Source organism: Homo sapiens, chromosome 1 (genome assembly GCF_000001405.40).
Source record: "Homo sapiens chromosome 1, GRCh38.p14 Primary Assembly".
NCBI classification, from domain to species: Eukaryota; Metazoa; Chordata; class Mammalia; order Primates; family Hominidae; genus Homo; species Homo sapiens.
In genome coordinates this window covers 235682654-235703808 of record NC_000001.11, presented here as the reverse complement: position 1 = coordinate 235703808, position 21155 = coordinate 235682654, and the positions used below count along the sequence as shown (strand labels likewise).

Here is a 21155-nt window from a genome sequence, read left to right as displayed (position 1 = left end):
CAAATAACAAACCTGCACATGTACTGCTGAACCTAAAGGTTTTTTTAAAAAAAGGATTTGATCACTGGTGCTGGGAGTTGTGGTGAGGAGAATGGAGTTGAAGATGACCTAACTTCTGAAATATCTTTGGAATTTTATTTTGGCATTTATAGAAATGTTATGTCTAGATATGTAATGAAAGCCACTATGACTGATTAAATATACGAAAAGCTAAGCCATCAAGTGGATATGTACAAAATATGGCTGATCTGTACTCAATTACTGACCGCCAGCTTTAGAAATAAGTAAATGTGCATTGCTCTCCATCTGACTCTACGGGATAATGACACTAAGAAAAAATATGCTTCTTAGTGCAGTAATTTTATTAGTACAATAATACCCTTTACATTTAAGAGCTTTGAATTTTCATTGCTGCTCTTTTGGTTTTATCCCCAATATTGATTAGAACCTAAATAATTATCTCTTCAACTATCTACCAGCATTGTATTTTAACTTCATTTTTGCCTTTTCCTATATATTGCTTTGGATAAGCAACTTCTTCAATAATTTAGTATCAGGTCATATATGATATTCTCAGATCTTAAATTAAAAGCTAATTTTATAAACATAACTAATTATAACCATCAGTCAAGATACGTTGTTTTTGTTCACCTATTCAGAAACATTGATACTTCTGATCTCAGTGAGACCATGAGTGATTGTTAACCTGAACAAAAGCATTTTTTCCATAACCTAGAATATAAAACAAAGTGTTGTTTTTCCCTTTGGTATTATTGTCAAGTCTTTCTTTTTACTACATATGTCTTGTTCCTTTACTCTTTCACTCTGCAGACATATTTTGGAATGGATGTCTCTGCAGTTGAAGATCCAGTTCAGAGACGAGCGCTAGAAACCATGATAAAAACCTACGGGCAGACTCCCCGTCAGCTGTTCCACATGGCCCATGTGAGCAGACCTGGAGCCAAGCTCAATATTGAAGGAGAGCTTCCAGCTGCTGTGGGGTTGCTAGTGCAGTTTGCTTTCAGGGAGACCCGAGAACAGGTCAAAGAAATCACCTATCCGGTATGTCATTTGGATTTCAATCGAGTGCAGCAAAACCTGATTAGACTCTTGTGATGCCAGGCACTCTCCCAGGTGATGAATAGCATGGTCCTGGCCTAAAGCTGTGTGCCAGTCAGTGCAAGACAGGTGCAGCAGCGAAAGCAGAATCCTGTGCGAGGTAAATGCTGTGTTAGCGATATGAGAGAGTGCTTTGGGGAGCTCAGAGGAAAAAAGAATTCATCGTTTCAGACGGTAACCTCCCTCAGGGAGCAGAGAGAATTGTTATTCCCAGGGAAAGCCTCGCAGGGCAGTGACATAATAGGATTTTTCAAGCAAGAAGAGAAGGACTAGAGAATAGTTTGAGCATTGGTGTGCCAGTGTACACATGCATACCATGGTCTTGGTTATCATCTACAATCAAAAGGATTGACCAGTGATGCGGATGTTTTGGTTTATACCTAAGGGGAACTTTACATATTTCTTTGGCCTCCTCAGGTTGTAATGATAAGAAGTATTGCCTCCAAAAATAGGAAGTAGGTATAATTTTTACTTCAAAATAGAAAAATCAAGCAAGCCTTAAAGCTAAAGTGGATTTTAATCTTCAACTCAATTCTTCGTTATAAAAACAGCATAAGATAGTAGAATGTGAATTGTAAGCACTGTAAGGGTTTGCAGAAGGAAATCACAGAAAATGAAAAGGTAAGGGAAAGACGTTGTAAAGGACCTTAAAGATGAAATAACTCAGTGTATCTCAAAGTGCAGTAATCTGTGACCTATTTTAAGAGGAAAAGGTTTTTACACACCTACACCTTGTTTTGACTATTATTCCTTGTAATATTACTTTATGTAAGACAGAACACTGGATATAAATTATTTGCGCTCATAGCTCACATATGTCAAATGTTCATGTTAAATACAAACAAAACTTATTCCACCAGTGAAATTCAATTTTAAAGCATTAATATGGTAGACAGTGTTGTTTTGCTAAAACTAAATTACAAGTGTTGAGTTTCATAATAGAAAACTATATTTTTTGTTTTCTGTTTTTGAAGCTTCACAAATCACTTTAGTCACTGTAATTACCAGGGTCACTATTTTTAACTACAATCTGTCACTTGATTGATTGATTGATTGATTGATTGAGATGAGTCTCGCTCTGTCGCCCAGGCTGGAGTGCAGTGGCACAATCTCGGCTCACTGCAACCTCTGCCTCCCGGGTTCAAACAGTTCTCCTGCCTCAGCCTCCCGAGTAGCTGGGATTACAGGCGCCCGCCACCACACCCAGCTAATTTTTGTATTTTTAATAGAGACGGGGTTTCACCATATTGGCCGGGCTGGTCTCGAACTCCTGGCCTCATGATCTGCCCGCCTCGGCCTCCCAAAGTGCTGGGATTACAGATGCGAGCCACCACACCCAGCCCAATCTGTCACTTTAACATGTCAGCATAATTTTACAATACATCCCTGAAAATTAATAAATGCCATTTAATTTACTACTATACTTACTGCTCGTTAGCTGTTAAAGTTGTATCTGAGCAGTATGTCTGCTCGCAGTGGGAACATGGTACCAGCCTGCTTCATTCCCACCTCAGAACCTTTGTGATGACTCTTTGCTCCACCTGGAATAACCACTCCCCAGATATATCCCCAGTTTGCTCCCTCATCTCATTCAAGTCTCTGCTCAGACATCTCTTCCTCAGAGTCTTCCCTGACCCCCATTTAAATGCTTTCCAAAAGCTCTGATTATATCTAAGTCTAATTATGTCTAAAACAGCTGTTCCGTCATCCTCAGATCCCTTCCCCTTCTTTGTTTTGGTGTATAGCACTTCTATCACCTGACATATTGTATATGTATTTGTTTATTTATTTGTCTATACTCCCATCCCAAATAGAATGTAACTCCATAAACACAAGGACTTTGTCTGTCTTGTTCATTACTGTGTCCCCAGTTCCTAGGAAGGTCCTGGGCATATAATAGACACTCAGCATTTTTTAAATTAATGTCTTCTCTGATGCAAATTCTTTAAGGTTTGGTTTGCTGCATTTCTGTGTGATGTGTAATGACATTTATGCCACTGCTTTTCTTTATTTGAACCACGGTGAAACTTTCGACACCATACTGCTTCTTGACTCTGTGGGCCTTCACTTGACATCTACACAAAATGCAAACACAAGCCTTGAAACCAAGCAACAGTACTCATTTATAAGGGGGTCATCTGGATGACCCAGGTATGCTTGTGTGAACTTCAGTTCACTATTGAAGTTCAAAACAATCAGAGCTGTATAAAAAGCATTTCAATAAAGCACTCCTCTTTAAATATTCTATGAGAAGTGGCTGTTCATATCCTTTGCCCACTTTTTCATGAGGTCGTTTGTTTTTTTCTTGTAAATTTGTACCAGTTCCTTGTAGATTCTGGATATTAGACCTTTGTCAGATGGGTAGATTGCAAAAATTTTCTCCCATTCTATAGGTTGCTTGTTCACTCTGATGGTAGTCTCTTTTGACGTGCAGAAGCTCTTTAATTAGATCCCAGTTGTCAATTTTGGCTCTTATTGCAATTGCTTTTGGCCTTTTCGTCATGAAATCTTTGCCCGTGCCTATGTCCTGAATGGTATTGCCTAGATTTTCTTCTAAGGTTTTTATGGTTTTGGGTTTTACATTTGTCTTTAATTCATCTTGAGTTAATTTTTGTATAAGGTGTAAGGAAGGGGTCCAGTTTCAGTTTTCTGCATATGGCTAGCCAGTTTTCCCAGCACCACTTATTAAATAGGGAATCCTTTCCCCATTGCTTGTTCTTATCAGGTTTGTTGAAGATCAGATGGTTGTAGATGTGTGGTGTTATTTCTTAAGTCTCTGTTCTATTCCATTGGTCTATATGTCTGTGTTGGTACCAGTATCATACTGTTTTGGTTACTGTTGGAAAAAAGCTCAGGATCACTGATCATTAGAGAAATGCAAATCAAAACCACAAGGAGATACCATCTCACACCAATCAGAATGGCGATTATTAAAAAGTCAAGGAACAATGGATGCTGGTGAGGCTGTGGAGAAATAGGAACGCTTTTACACCGTTAGTGGGAATGTAAATTAGTTCAACCCTTGTGGAAGACAGTGTGGCAATTCCTCAAGGATCTAGAACCAGAAGTACCATTTGACTCAGCAATCCCATTACTGGGTATATACTCAAAGGAATATAAATCATTCTACTCTAAAGACACATGCACTCGTATGTTTATTGCAGCACTATTTACTATAGCAAAGACATGGAACCAACACAAATGCCCATCAATGATAGACTAGATAAAGAAAATATATACCATGAAATACTATGCAGCCGTAAAAAATAATGAGATCATGTCATTTGCAGGGACATGGATGAAGCTGGAAGCCCTCATCCTCAGCAAACTAACACAAGAACAGAAAACCAGACACCGCTTGTTCTCACTCATAAGTGGGAGTTGAACAATGAGAACACATGGACACAGGGAGGGGAAAAACACACCCTGGGGCCACGCGGTGGAGTTGGTGGGGATGGGAGAGAGAGCATCAAGACAAAACCTAGATGATGGGTTGATAGGTGCAGCAAACCACCATGGCACACGTATACCTATGTAACAAACCTGCACGTTCTGCACATGTATCCCAGAACTAAAGTAAAAAAAAGAAAGGAGAATAATGATCATAAATATGCTATGATATAAAACAGTTGCCCTTGTATCTTTCTGTGTCATTGAAAAACTAGAAGTTTAAACTCTGCAACTCATATAAAAGGAAGTTCCTTTTATATGAATTCCTGGCAAGGAATTGTGAATGATAAATTATAACTAAAATTTAGCACACACATTTTTCTCAACTTTATTTGTTGATTTTTTTTGTTTTTGTTTTTGTTTTTTTGAGACAGAGTCTTGCTTTGTTGCCCAGACTGAAGTGCAGTGGCGTGATCTCGGCTTACTGCAAGCTCTGCCTCCCAGGTTCATGCCATTCTCCTGCCTCAGCCTCCCGAGCAGCTGGGACTGCAGGCACCCGCCACCACGCCCAGTTAAATTTTTTTGTATTTTTAGTAGAGACAGGGTTTCACCATGTTAACCAGGATGGTCTTGATCTCCTGACTTCATGATCCGCCCGCCTCGGCCTCCCAAAGTGCTGGGATTACAGGCTTGAGCCACCGCGCCCGGCCTTTCTCAACTTTAATATTGATAGATTTGGATCCCACAGGGGAGCCACAAAAAAACACTGTTAGACAAAATTTTAGAAGCTTGTTTTCAAAATGCCTGACCCTAACGTCTCTGTTCCCACATGAGCATTCCTGAAGCTCTTAAGCTTTTCCAGAGATACTCATTTTTTAGACCACTATGATATCATTTAACATGTCCCCTAAATAGTCTGACAGAATTATTAGAGCTCCTAAAGTGGCACGATTTTTTTAAAAGATAGTCTATACGTCAGTGATGCCTTTTTTTTCATTTATTTGGAAAATGACATAAGCAAGTTTCACTAAAAATCAGGTTTTTTACAGAAATGACTGAAAATTGCTTAATATATTATTTTTATTTTATGTAGCATTTCCTCTGAAGAGTTGAAAGTAAAATAATGGGTTAAACTCTTAAATGTATAAAAGGAGGGAATCCATTAAAAAAGAAGAGTTCAGTAGAGGATAAAACAGTCATAAGGAGAACAAAAAGAATAGAACTATTTGGGGAAACTCTTTAAAAGGGCATCATGTCTTTTCTTCTTCATTTTGAAACTTTTTAATAACTGTTTTTGCTTGAAGTGGAGGAAACCTTTTCATTACCGTTCGTGGGCAGCCAAATGGGTATCTCTCTAGAGTCTTCACTCACCTTTCTTCCCCCAAATCCTATTGTTCTTCAAGCTCTACCTTTTATTTTTCACTGACAATTCTTTCTCATCTCTTTTCTTCTCTAGTACTGGCTAGAGATTCTCTAATCCTCGCAATATGTTCCATAGATAAACACTTTCCCTTTCACTCATCACGTATCTATTTGAGATGAGAACCTGCTATGTTCCAGGCACATAGATGAATCAGAGGTGTTCCCTCTCTTCAAGGAGCTCATAGCTGAGTGAGGTTTCCTGTGCTACATGTGGTCTTGATTTCTATTACCATATGTACATATGGCTTGTCATACTACCAAATTACAGTCCTCCAGTAAGTATCAACTTTAGTTTAGGTATTTCAACTAGAAATAAGAAATGTACTAAATTTTTTTCTCTGCTCAAATTTCAAGGAATTTTGAATTATTAACCACATATTTTCATGCAAATTAGGCCAGAACCACAGAGTAAAACTCAAATAAGGGACAAATATTTCTATACGCTAAGCATGGGGAAGTAAAAAAAAATGCGTAAAATAATTATTGCCCTTACAGAGCTTATAATCCATATTACTTTCTCTTACTTTGTTTAGAGCTTAAATTAGAAGTAATTCTACACTTACCACCTTTTAAAAAGCCATACTTTTTATTTTTCTTCATTTTAGAGTCCTTTGTCATGGATAAAAGGCTTGAAATGGGGGGAATACGTGGGTTCCCCCAGTGCTCCAGTACCTGTGGTCTGCTTCAGCCAGCCCCACGGAGAAAGATTTGGCTCTCTCCAGGCTCTGCCCACCAGAGCAATCTGTGGTTTGTCACGGAATTTCTGTCTTCTGATGACATATAGCAAGGAACAAGGTAAAATAAAATGTAACGAAGATCATTCTGGATATATCTTTCGTGAGATTTGAGTATTTCTAGCTCATCTGTGCTGCTACTTTGAGTCCTTGGTGGAAAAACTCAGCTCAAATTTGTGGTTATTTAGTGCAAAGTAGGAATGAAAACATGCTACATGAAAAAACAGAGAGTTAAATGCAGTGCTATTTGAAATGAGAGGAGGAACTTGAAGGGGACAAGAATAGATGGTTATGTTCACAAAATGAAGATGTTATCGATTTGGCAGAAATGTACACTTTGAGGCTGTTGAGCCCCAGAATAGACAGACGTATTTGACCAACAAATCTACCATCTCAGAAGATATAGTCATGGGTTTAAGCAACAAACACAACAAGGATGTCGAGATAGCCTTGAAAATAGGTTTTAAAGACACGTATTCCTGAAAACCAATCCTTTTCTGACTCCCCACATACTGACTCACTAAAAGCAACATGTGGGAAAGTGCTGTGCAGTAGAGGCCTCTTCATGTTTCTAAATGTCAACTAGACACTGGAAAACTAGGGACATTTTGCATTTGAGCAGTCCCTCAGCCATTCCAAATTAGCCATTTCACTAGAAACAAAAGAACTCTTCCTACTTACTGTGGACATGGGGCACCAAAATGAATGACCTAGGGCACTCATCTGTTTCTATCAGGTTAAATGCAGACTTGCCTAAAAGCCAGTGTGTGGACTAGATGCCTGTTAGCAGCCAGCACTGCTGGCAATTACCATTACCTTCTGTGCACTGTGCTCTTTGGGAGCCATATATAGCCTTCCACCCAACCTGCAATACAAAGGTGCCAGCACCCAGAGAAAACATCAGTCACTTAAAGAAATTAGGTATGCTAGCTGGGCCATAGTTCTTTTAGGCTCACTCTTATTTCTGTCATGAAATGAATGATTGTTTTATAGTTGTTAGAAATAAGAGAGGATGCATACCGTTTTATCTATGTTTAGTGAGTTAATAGGATAGGGTAGAACTGTTTAATCATAATTATTGTGTTATCAATGGTTCATTCTTACTAGTATGTTACAATTAGTTATGAGGCAATTTACAAGTAATTTACTAATAATACCAAAGTACCAACATGTGTGAATTATTTACCTTTAAAAAATTAGAGTACAGTAGGCTGGGTGCGGTGGCTCAAGCCTGTAATCCCAGCACTTTGGAAAGCTGAGGCGGGCAGATCACGAAGTCAGGAGATCGAGACCATCCTGGTTAACACGGTGAAACCCCGTCTCTACTAAAAATACAAAAAAAAATTAGCCGGGCGTGGTGGCGGGCTCCTGTAGTCCCAGCTACTCGGGAGGCTGAGGCAGGAGAATGGCGTGAACCCATGAGGCGGAGCTTGCAGTGAGCCAAGATCGCACCATTGCACTCCAGCCTGGGAGACAGAGCAAGACTCCGTCTCAAAAAAAAAAAAAAAAAAAAATTAGAGTACTGTAAAGTTTCTCTCTGTTGAGCAAAAGAGAAAGAGCAGGTATTATCACTTTGCATTATGGGACTTAAGCATGTCAAACATATTCTAAGCCTATCTTATTTGTGCCACTACAGTCATGAACCCTTAGTGTGCCCTTAATAGCTATGTTCGCTCAAATTACACTTAATTTCTTCGCACAATGTATTTGGAATTTGTCAGAACCTGGGTATGTCCAGAGCAGTAGTTTAATAGAACAGTTTCCTCCATGGCCTCCACAGGCAGTTCCTGAGTTTTGCATCCTTGCCCTGCTGCTTACTAGCTATGTGGCCTTGGGGAAGTTAACTTCGTGCTTTGCAAATCCTGGCTTTTGATCTATAAAGTAGGAATAACAAAATAATTTACCTCACAGGGTAATTTTCTGTAAGGATTCAATACAATAATGTATGGGGATGATTAGCACAGTGCCTGGTTCATTCTAAGTGCTTAATAAATGCTTATTGGCCTGTAAATACCCTAGGGTCTGGGAGAGGTCAGTGTTTACTACATACACTCAACACTAGACCCAGCAAGGAACAGTCCACATAGACATTCTAGAGAGGCATTGACTGAACAATGTTGTAGCTTACAGATGAAAGTTAGGTCACTTGTTAACACAAGAGACACACTGCATCAGAATCTCTGGGGCTTGAGTCCAAGCTTATACATGCTGAAAATCAATTTTAGATTCAATTTTAATAGATCCTATTTAAGATATACTGTCCTAATAGTTAAAGGAGAAGTTTCTTTTTCTGAAAGAAAAAAAAAAAGATGATGCCTCTTGTGGTACTGGAATGAGAAACCTTGGTTTATGGAGCACTTGCTGCATGCCAGGCATCATGGCAGATTTTGAGAGGACTCAAGACTCATGATATGTGGTTCCTTTCCCTAGCAGCTTATATTTAGAGGAGTTTCTATTTAGTGAGTATATTCCAATTCTTTTGTTACAAAATGTTGTCAACATTTCTTATTTTACTCAGCAAAACAAAAAGCTGTGAATTGCCTATTTTCACTATGCTGTTGATTCATTCAAGAAATATTTATTTGTTATACTCATCTACTTCTGGGTATTCTGCTAGGTACTGGAATAAATAAAGCACATTGTCTCTCCTTTAGGAACTTAAAACATTGCAAGTTTCAAGGGCAGTACCATTTACAGCATATATGCTGCATTTAGCTATATTCAGCATACCAACAAAGCATAGATAATTAATAGTACTGGGAAATGATGTCAAAATTTCCAAATTTTTATGCCAAGAGAACATCATACTATGTTGTAAAAAAGAGAGAGGGCTGGGCACAGTGGCTCAAGCCTGTAATCCCAGCACTTTGGGAGGCCGAGGCGGGCAGATCACTTGAGGTCAGGAGTTCGAGACCAGCCTGGCCAACATGATGAAACCCCGTCTCTACTAAAAATACAAAAAAAAAATCAGCCGGGCATGGTGGCGAGCGCCTGTAGTCCCAGCTGCTGGGGAGGCTGAGGCACGAGAATCACCTGAACCCAGGAAGCGGAGGTTGCAGTGAGCCGAGATTGCGCCACGGCACTTCAGCCTGGGTGACAGAGCGAGACTCTGTCTCAAAAAAAAAAAAAAAAGAAGAAGAAGAGAAGAACAGAGCCTCCTTGAATTGAATGAAGGTCTACCATACACAGTCCTGCAGTTGACAGGATTAAATGATCCCTTCTCAGGCTAGGTGTTGCTTCCACTCTAGCAGTGTTATCTTCCTGCTACTAACAGTTGTCTATCCTGGGTATCTAGAAAGTTAAATAGTATCTAGTTCATATTTATTTTTAAAAGAAAAGGTGTCTCAGAACATGAATAGAGTAAGCTTCACTATTACTGTCTTTTATAATAATTTCTTAACAGAAATTTTAGTTCTGAGTCAAACAAATCCCAGTCAAAACAACACAAGTGAAAAAATATAATCCCACCCTGAGAACCCTGTTAGCATTAAAGGAATAAAACTAAAAAATTGTTCCATTTTAGAGATTTAAAGATGGTCTTGCACCAAATGATATGTTCTGCTATGTAAACTTCACCCTTTAATCTGCCAGTTTTGGGCTGTCATGTAACAGTCGAGCAGTGACAATCTGATACTTTTCTTTCTCCTTCTCCTTGAGGTGTGAGAAGCATGAACAGTACGGACATTCAGTGGTCAGCCATCCTGAGCTGGGGATATGCTGATAATATTTTAAGGTTGAAGAGTAAACAAAGTGAGCCTCCAGTAAACTTTATTCAAAGTTCACAACAGTACCAGGTAAACACTTTATTTTATTTTATTTATTTATTTTTAAGACGGAGTCTCACTCTGCCGCCCAAGCTGGAGCGCAGTGACACATCTTGGCTCACTGCAAGCTCCACCTCCCGGCTCACGCCATTCTCCTGCCTCAGCCTCCCAAGTAGCTGGGACTACAGGCACCTGCCACCACGCCCAGCTGACTTTTTGTATTCTTTTAGTAGAGACGGGATTTCATCGTGTTAGCAAGGATGGTCTCGATCTCCTGACCTTGTTATCTGCCCGCCTTGGCCTCCCAAAGTGCTGGGATTACAGGTGTGAGCCACCACACCTGGCCAACTTTTTTTTTAATTTTAGAGTGTCGCTCTGTTGCCCAGGCTGGAGTGCAAAAGCACACTCTCAGCTAACTGCACCCTCCACCTCCCAGACTCAAGTGATCCTCCTCCCTCAGCTTCCCAAGTAGCTGGGACTACAGGTGCGTGCCACCATGCCTGGATAATTTTTATATTATCTGTGGAGATAGGGTTTCTCCATGTTGCCCAGGCTGGCCTCAAACTCCTGGACTCAAATGATTCACCCGCCTTGGCCTCCCAGAGTGCTGGGATTACAGTGAGCCACTGTGTCTGGCCCATGTAAACGTTTTTGTGGTATCTTTATAATGGTTAATGCATAAAAATGAGTCAGACTGGCTGGGCACAGTGGCTCATGCCTGTAATCCCAGCACTTTGGGAGGCTGAGGCGGGCAGATCGCCTGAGGTCAGGAGTTCAAGACCAGCCTGGCCAACACGGGGAAAACCCATCTCTACTAAAAATACAAAAAAAATTAGCCAGGCATGGTGGCACATTCCTGTAATTCCAGCTACTCAGGAGGCTGAGGCAGGAGAATCGCTTGAACCCAGGAGGCAGAGGTTGCAGTGAGCCAAGATCACGCCATTGCATTCCAGCCTGGGTGACAAGAGCGAGACTCCATCTTAAAAAAAAAAGAGTCAGACTGATAGCAGCTAGGTTGGTTGGTTGGTTGGTTGGTTGGTTTGTTATGAGATGAAGTCTCGCTCCATCGCCCAGGCTGGAGTACAGTGGTGTGATCTGTGCCCACTGCAACCTCCGCCTCCCGGATTCAAGCAATTCTCCTGCCTCAGCTTCCGAAGTAGCTGGGACTACAGGCATGTGCCACCACACTTGGCTAATTTTTGTATTTTTAGTAGGGACGGGGTTTCACCATGTTAGCCAGGTTGGTCTCGAACTCCTGACCTCAGGTGATTCTCCCGCCTCAGCCTCCCAAAGTGCTGGGATTACATGCGTGAGCCACTGTGCCCAGCCAAGCAGCCAGTTTTTAATATCCTGCAATTTGTCCAGTCAAGAATCTGATGTTAGGCTGGGCATGGTGGCTCACGCCTGTAATCCTAGCACTTTGGGAGGCCAAGGTGCGGGGATCACCTGAGGTCAGGAGTTCGAGACCAGCCTGGCCAACATGGTGAAACCCTGCCTCTATGAAAAATGCAAAAATTAGCCACGCATGGTGGTGGGCACCTGTAAATCCCAGCTACTCGGGAGGCTGAGGCAGGAGAATCACTTGAACCTGGGAGGCAGAGGTTGCAGTGAGCTGAGATCGTGCCATTGCGCTCCAGCATCAGCAACCAGAGCAAAACTCCATCTCAAAAAAAAAAAAAAGAGAGAATCTGATGTTTATAGTACTTACAGACTTCCTAACTACCACTATTTGTGTCCCCCAAATTTGTTTTCTACCCATTTTCTCATTGAGAGAATATTATCAAAATCTCCTGCTCAACATCAGTGAAGGGCATAGTGTTTGAACCAAATCAGCATTGCCTTCTTCTCAGTGTTCACTCACCTTTGTCATTAGGTCATTTTCTGTAACCATAGTGCCATCTTTTATACCTGATTTTTCCTAAATGGACTGGTTATTCAGACATCATGTATAGTAGAAAGAACATTGGGCCTAAAGCCCTGTGATCTTTGTTAGTGTCCCAGCTTCGTTATATACTAACTGCAGCCTTTGACTAGTAACTTAATCTCTCCAAACTTGAGTTTCTTTCCTCCTCATTACAACCAAGATAATAGTACTCACACTTCTTTCTCAGAAAGCTGCTGTAAAATGTTTCCAGTGTTTGTGAAAGAAACTTGTAAACTGTAGCCAGGCGCGGTGGCTCAAGCCTGTTATCCCAGCGCTTTGGGAGGCCGAGGCGGGCGGATCACAAGGTCAGGAGATCGAGACCATCCTGGCTAACACAGTGAAACCCCGTCTCTACTAAAAATACAAAAAAAATTAGCTGGGCGTGGTGGCGGGCGCCTGTAGTCCCAGCTACTCGGGAGGCTGAGGCAGGAGAATGGCGTGAACCCGGGAGGCGGAGCTTGCAGTGAGCCAAGATTGCACCACTGCACTCCAGCCTGGGCAACAGAACGAGACTCTGTCTCAAGGGAAAAAAAAAAAAAAGAAACTTGTAAACTGTAAAATACCATGTAAATATACAGTATGCTGCTGCAACCGTTCCAGACTGTAAATCGTATGGACAGCCTTCTTTTTTGACTCTCTTTCCATGGGAAGTTCTCTTACCATTCATCCTCTGATTTCCATTACCTGCATAACACCTGCTGCCTTATCATGTGTCCTAAAATGTATCCCATTCCCTGAGCTCTTTAGAAATGGAGGAAGCTACTTAGGGGAATGTTTAGCAGTGAAAGCAAGAGGAGCAGTGCCTTGTTTGCATAACCCTCAATATCCCTGACCAAAATATTGCCACCATTTGTTATATAGCTTACCAGGAAACTGACAGAAGTAAGAATAAAGAGACAGTGAAAAACAACTTTACTAGGAACTTTAATAAGATTTTTTTTTTAGTTTTGAAACATCAGGCTGCATTAACCAGAGCCTTTGTATGCAGATAGAAATATATATATCCAAACACAAACAAGTTATAACCATAAATCATGGCAAAGCTTGTAGTATAACTAAATTGGAAATGAGTCTACAAAATAAATGAAAACACAAAAACATATTATAGAATCAGTATGTCCCTTACTGCACCCTTTTTGGGATTATTATAAATTGGGAAAAACAGACAAATATGTACAGTGGGAGTTAGATATACAATACATTCTACCTGTCAAAATACACTGACACAAATTTATGAGCAGATTTAACTCATTGCTGTCATCAGTAATCTGTATTTACAAACATCTTGACTTTCCAATGAAAAGTGAAGAAAAATGAAATCATCATCAGTATTAATTGAATGTTTTCAACGCAATGTTAAAGATATAACATAAGCTTTCAATCAAATTCTTTACACCTTTAATTACTAGGCATTCCTTCTATTTAAGAGTTGGGTACTGTTACATTAGATTGATGTGGTGTGAAGAGAGGACAAAGATGAACAAATAACTTTAAAGATGCTTTCCGATTCACTAATTTATTTTCACCAGTACAAAGACAAGCATTTAGTCAAATTGTTTTTGCCAAGTAAATTGACTTGTTAGTTTAGCAGATCCAAAGCTTGAATAAAGTTGTTTAAAATTCTTATTTTTATTTTTTTCTAGCTTTATTGGGATAAAATTGACAAATAAAATTGTATATATTTAAGGTATACAATGTGATGTTTTAATACATGTATATATACATTGTGAAATGATTACTACAGTCAGGCTAATTAACACATTCGTCACCTCACATAGTTAGCATTTTTTACGTGTGTGATGAGAATATTTAAGATCTACTATCTTAGCAAATTTCAAGAATACAACACAGTATTATTAACAGTAGTCACCATCCTCTACGTTAGATCTCCAGAACGTAATCATCCTGCACAACTGAAACCTGTACCCTTTGACCACCATCTCTCCATTCCACACACATTACCAGCACTCTCAGCCCCTGGCTACTGCTACTCTACTCTCTGTAGTTCAGCTTTTTTTAGATTCCACATAGGAGCAGGATCATACAGTATTTGTCTTTCTGTGCCTGGCAGATTTTACTTAATACAGTGTCCCCCAGGGTCATTTGTGTTATCACAAATAACAGGATTTCCATCTTTTTAAAGGCTGAATAATATTTCATGTATATAAAAGAATTTAAACATTGCAAAATTATTTGTATCATAATAGATGAAAATAAAGATGAAAGAACACTATCACAAGTCCTGTTAGCAAAACAAGATGTGATGACATTGTGTGATACTTTGAGTCAAATGACTAAACTGGATGAGAATACTATATTGCATTTTCATCTAGAGATACATTTCTAAAGATATATTTTTGTTCACCCATTAATTCTTTGATTTGAGAAAATTCAGCTAGGATATTATTGTTGTTGTTGTTGTTGTTGTTATTATTATTATTATTATTATTATTATTATTATTATTATTATTTGAGACGGAGTCTCACTCTGTTGCCAGGCTGGAGTGCAGTGGTGCGATCTCGGCTCACTGCAACCTCCCCCTCCTGGGTTCAAGCGATTCTCCTGCCTCACCGTCCCTAGTACCTGGGACTACAGGTGCGTGCCACCACACCCAGCTAATTTTTTTGTATGTTTAGTAGAGACGGGGTTTCACCATGTTAGCCAGGATGGTCTCGATCTCCTGACCTCATGATCCGCCCGCCTCGGCCTCCCAAAGTGCTGGGTTACAGGCATGAGCCACTGTGCCCAGCCAGGATTTTGTTATATAAAGACTCACGCTCTGAGATTTCACTTATATGATCAATTTCATCATCATCAGTAGAGTCTAGAGTCCTGACGGCTGTGTGCCTTCATGTTGTGATTAGTCTCATAATTGTGAAACATCTTCCTCTGTCAGCTTTCTTGGTAGAAAATGAAAAATTCTGAATTCTCCACCGTGTTCAATGAAAGCCAAAAGTAGACTACAGAAGTGGTGTCTCCAGCCTTCTTTTATACTTTCCTGAAAGATGACACTATACTTTGGACAATGCAATAAGAAAACCAAAAGATGACGATTTAGTTCACATATTAGATTATCCTCTTGGGAGATTCCATCATTCTCCCATTTCCTTGCTTGTTTGTTTGTTTTTTGCGTATTTAGGAATAATTGATGAGTAGTGATGAAATAATTTTTAGAATGATGAAATCGCTAAATGTTTCAGGATATAGAAAAACAAGTTAGTTATTAAGATCTTGTAATGTAACTTAGGTTGATTCACTGGATCCATGTGGTAATTCCAAGACAGAATGAGTTTTATTCTGTGTATTTTTTAAAAGTGCATTTTCTCTTTGTTCTTTGGAAGACCTCCAAGAAAGAATAAAATTTATGAAGTATCAATCCTAACAAATAGAACTACTCAAGAAAGAAACTGAAAACATAAAATTGGATCCAATGGATCCTTATGGTATAACGGGAGTTAAGAAGAATAAAGATCAGAGAAAGTCATTTTCTAAGGTAGCAGAGACGTGAACACACTTGTAGTGCAAGGGGGGAAGCCAGCAAGAGACAGCTTGAAACTGTAAGAAAAAGAAAACAAGGTTTCTGAGGAAGCCTGAGGATGAGGCAAGGCTGACCTTGAAAGCAGACATTTCTTTCTCTGAATCAGAAGACAGGGAAACATGTTGAGGTGCAGAGGAGAGGAGAGGAAGAGGTGTGCAGCTGGGGGTCTCCATCTGCTTAGTGAAGTGAGTGTGGGGGAGGTGGGACAGGAGAGCAGTTGGGGACAGTTGCTGCGGACATGGTGCTCAGGGTGGGGGTCAGCTAGCATGGAAAAGAGGACCTGTCAGGCCACATAGAAAATTGACTCAAACCTGAGTGGTGCCTCCATGGTTAGGACTGAGGGATTTTGTACCAAAGGCATAATCCCATCTTTTACATTCACATTTATCTTCTTTCTTCCCCTGCTTAACAATCTTTAGAACTATTAGAAGCAATACCTCTGTTTACATGTACCTGTTTCCCCACCAAAGACATAAAACGAGGAAAATAAAAGCAAAAAGCAAATAAATATGTGAAGTACACATACATTCACACTCAACCTTGGATTTAATCAATCCTGAATCATTTTGTTAAATTTATCTAAATATATATACACATATATCCACACACAGGCACGTATAGACATAGACTATGCATTATAATATATTTTAATTTGGAAACAACATTTAGACATTTGGCTCAAAGTTACGGAATATTACTATATCTGACACGTTTCTGTTTCAAGAAATGTTTACCTAACATTTTTGAGAGTTAAAAAAAATAGTTGTCAGAAAAGTAGAAGTATTTTTCATTCTTTTATTTTATTTTTATTATACTTTAAGTTTCATTCTTTTAAAACATGATAATCTTTGATTGGTCCTTTTTCAAAGGTGACTAGTTGTGCTTGGGTGCCTGACAGTTGCCAGCTGTTTACTGGAAGCAAATGCGGTGTCATCACAGCCTACACAAACAGATTTACAAGCAGCACGGTAGGTTCTGGGCTTCTGTGTGGGTAGTATGGGACTTTGTCAATGAGGGGAAGAAAGCCTTTATGAAGTATAATTCACTTTGCATAAGATTAACTTAAAATGTTTATACCTTAATCTTCTCCCTACATTAGGTCTTAAAATGCTTTAGGGTTTATTAGAATCATGAAAAATCTTGAAAACAATTGTAGTAGTCCCATTTTTTTTCAGAGACGGTATTTTGAGTTAGATCTGTTTTGTATTTAGGCTTTTAAATGACATTTTGGTGCTTACCTGTATTTGCGATAGCAACCTGAATCCTTAGGAGTATACTGTAAGAGTCTATCAGTTTGAAAGCTTAGAAACCCTAATGTCCAACATTCCGATAACCTCTGGGTAAACTAAGTGACAGCAAAATCTAAGTAGTCTGTCTGGATTTGTACCACTTACTGGAAGAAATTTTATTATTTTTCAGCCATTCACTGAACTCCCAGGATTTTGGAGTTGAATCATAAAACGGGAAAAAATAAGACAGATTATGCAATGCTTCTTTTAATTTACTGTTTTTGGGGGGTTTTGTTTTGTTTTGTTTTGTTTTTGTTTTTTGAGACAGAACCTCCCTCTCTTGCCTAAGCTGGAATGCAATGGCACAATCTCAGCTCACTGCAACCTCTGCCTCCCGGGCTCAATCAATTCTCGTGCCTCAGCCTCTCGAGTAGCTGGGACCACAGGCATGTGCCACCACGCCCGGCCAAGTTTTGTAGTTTTAGTAGAGATGGGGTTTTGCCATGTTGGCCAGGCTGGTCTCGAACTCCTGGCTTCAAGTGATCCTCCCACCTCGGCCTCCCAAAGTGCTGGGATTATAGGTGTGAGCCATCACGCCCGGCCTGTTTTTGTTTCTTGAATCAACTGCCTGTGGTGCAGTTGAGGATATGTGTCAAGTTTAGGTTGATAACTCAGTAATCATCATTCTGATACAGAATTTTCACTGTGCATTTTTTTCCATTATAATTTTCTTTATAGTATTAAATCTGTTTTACTGAGTGAAACCTGTATTTCTAGCATAGGGTGACTCCCAGGTTCTTCGTTTTCTTTTTTTGTTTGTTTTTTTTTTTTTGTTTTGTTTTAAGACAGAGTCTCACTCTGTCGCCCAGGCCAGAGTGCAATGGTGTGATCTTGGCTCAATGCAATCTCTGCCTCCCGGGTTCAAGCAATTCTTCTGCCTCAGCCTCCTGAGTAGTTGGGATTACAGGCGCACACCACCACACCCGGCTAATTTTTGTATTTTTAGTAGAGACAGGGTTTCGCCATGTTGGTCAGACTGGTCTCGAGCTCCTGAGCTCAGGTGATCCACCCGCCTCGGCCTCCAAAGTGCTGGGATTACAAGTGTGAGCCACTGTGCCCAGCCAGGTTCTTACTTTTTTTTCCAAGCTTATTCCCTTTTGAACTCTTGTTAAGTTTCTTTGCATGGTCACTGAGGTATAAATGTGACCATATTTTGTTTCTGTCTCTTAGTCTAAGGAGCCATTAAAATGGTATAAACAGGAGTTATATGATCCAGTCAGCATTTTAGGGAGACCACTGTAGAGCCTGCAAGGAGAAACACTTCCAAGGGCATGAGACTGGGAGCCAGGACACCAACGAGAAGGCCACCGCAGTGATCCAGGCAGGAAGCAAAGAAGGGCAGGTTAAGGAGCCAGAACAGTGGAGTGTATGCTCTAAGACAGGCCCACACCCAGGATAGAGGACCACAGAAGAAGGACATCCAGACATCAGGGAGCCTGTTAAGTTACACTTGAGCTGGATCCTAAGGGATCAATCTACTGTAAGTAAAGGAAAGAGGAAAGAACATTTCAGGCAGAGGAAATAGTTTACACAAGAGCCTGGAATCAAAGGCATGGGGATTTTGGGGGGTGGCAAATACTTTCCTGTGTAGTTTAGAGTGTAACGTGTTGGGGAAGAATGACAAAAGCAGGGCAGGAAAAGATTGAGGCCAGTGATGAGGTTCTTATATGCCATGATAAAAAGAATGCTAAAGAATATAAGCAGGGTGTGGTGGCTCATGCCTGTGGCCCCAGCACTTTGGGAGGCCAAGACAAGAAGATCGCTTGAGCCCAGAAATTTGAGACCAGCCTGGGCAACATAGCAAGACCTTATTTCTACCAAAAAAAAACAAAAATAAAAAAATTGGTCAGGCATGGTGGTGCATGCCTGTGGTCCCAGCTACAAGGGAGACTGAGGTGGGAGTATCACTTGAGCCCAGAAGGTCGAGATCACAGCAGTAAGCCGTGACCACACCACTGCACTCCAGCCTGGGCGGCAGAGTGAGACCTGACTGAAATTGTTTTTAAAAAAGGTTATAAGCAGAGAATATAAGTGTCATAACTTTTTGAATGTCTCCTTTTTATCACCTTTTGATTCCCAAAGGCTTAAAATGAATGTTAATTTTATAACATCTGTAATATTCACACTGCCATTACCTTTAATCTTCTGAGCTCCCCTTTCTGACTTCCCCTACAAATCGATTCTAAACCCTGCTGCTAGGGCAGTTGTCAGCTTGTGCACTTGGATCATTTTGCACCATGACATGGACACCTTTTTTAAAACCTGGCTTTATCTTTTGCTTTTTATTTCCTTTTGCTTTTGCCAACACTTTGAACAGCCTTGTTCTTAGTTTTCCCTACTTCTCCATTTTTAATTGTGCACTAACACAGTGTGCAGTACAGGTTTAAAAAAAAAAGGTTAAGCTGTCACTATAGGAGTATTTGTGCACAGGATAGCTTTGAGGAAGCAGATCAAGAGCATAGCTATTACAATTTAAATACTGCAAGACATACATTTCTTTTAGTTTTGAGGTCATGACACACTTGTGAAGGCTTATGTTGCTTAGCTGTCCTCAGTTATATATTTGCCTTAAAGCAGATTTTTCAGCTAATTTTTATAGGATTTTTTTTCCACCTAAGTATTAGGTAATCAAATCATGAGATTAATAGTTACTATTTAACAGTGCCAAAAAATCTAACTTAGTAGTGTAGTTTTATCAGTTTGTTTTGTTGGGAGATTACTTGGGTATTTGTAGACATTGTTGTTGCTTTTTCCCAGGGATCGTGTTGCTATTCTGGCATCTCTAAGGTTGTGGTTCTGACCCTGAGCTTGTGAGGTTAGCAGGAGACACCTCATGTTCACTGGTTTCTGTTCTTCAGCTTTCCTGACCCACTGAATGCATGGTTTTAAAAGTGTTCATGTTCTCCTTTGGATTGTCTTTAACACAGACAAAAGATGGGCCCCCCAACCAAGTGCCACATAGGATGTGGCCAAATCCTTGTTTGAAAATACTTTCAAGGGGATCTTAGGAAATGCCTTCCTTAGCTAGTAAGCATATCTAACTTTGAGCACCGTAAGTTTCTGTTGAAGCACCCAAGATAAAAGTCTTCTAAAATGCATTCTAGGTAATGATGAATAAGTTGACTCGTTATATGGGATTGTAACCTATAAGCCATTTAAATGTTAGAGGAGAATATCTTCTAAATGTGATAACTGATTTTAAAATAGTTGCTGTCGGGTTATTCTGTCACGAAGTAAGTAACGTGTCCACATCATCTTCGTATAAGTGAACACCTATATATCTGTTATCTAACTTGAGAGTGGCAGAAGAATATGTGTGCAGCTTATACAAGGTAGTATTACTTCATTCAAGAACAATATTTAAAAGAAGGTGCCAGCACAAGAGACCTGCTCGACCCGCTGGAAGTTATTTTCTGACCCATCAGTGAATTGTCTAGTAATATTAGCCTTTGCAGTTATTTCAAAGTGCAGAGTTTATTAAAAAATTATCAAATACTACTATTAGGACCCCTATGTTGTGTTTACCCATAACTGTTACTCATTTCACAGAGTAAAAGGTGGAGAATAGGTCAATAAATCTGTACTCTATGTTTCTTCTGACATATTTTTTACAATAATGAATGGGATTGACTGTGGTCAGTAGGAGAATGACCTAAAACTTTAGGAAAATATTGGCCCAAGGAGACCAAACTTGTAACTTATCAAGTAGAACGCTAACCTCATTTTAGTTTTGATGTTGAAGTAACTCACTAATCTGTACTCAGTGAATTGGAGATAGTTGTTCTGTTTAAAATTGGGACACTGAAGAAAAACAAAGCATGTGTGGAAAAAAATAAAATAGAACTTCTAGAAATGACATAATAAAAATAATAGTTAATATTTACTGACTGCTTACTTTGTATTAGGCATTGTTCTAAGCTCTTTACAATTTCTGATGTATTGGTTTTTGACTCAAGTATCTTTATTTTTCTCTA

At 39.8% G+C, this 21155-nt stretch overlaps 1 protein-coding gene across 8 annotated transcripts in view; it reads left to right on the top strand.

Moving 5' to 3' along the window:
* LYST (lysosomal trafficking regulator) overlaps positions 1–21155 on the top strand; it is a 222683-nt gene that overhangs the window by 179905 nt on the left and 21623 nt on the right. For all 8 annotated transcript variants that reach the window (XM_011544032.2, NM_001301365.1, XM_011544031.2 and 5 more), the window contains 4 exons: positions 832–1062; positions 6537–6726; positions 10323–10459; positions 16762–16860. In XM_011544032.2, the coding sequence (XP_011542334.1) occupies positions 832–1062; positions 6537–6726; positions 10323–10459; positions 16762–16860 (657 nt within the window). The remainder of the gene's footprint in view (positions 1–831; positions 1063–6536; positions 6727–10322; positions 10460–16761; positions 16861–21155) is intronic.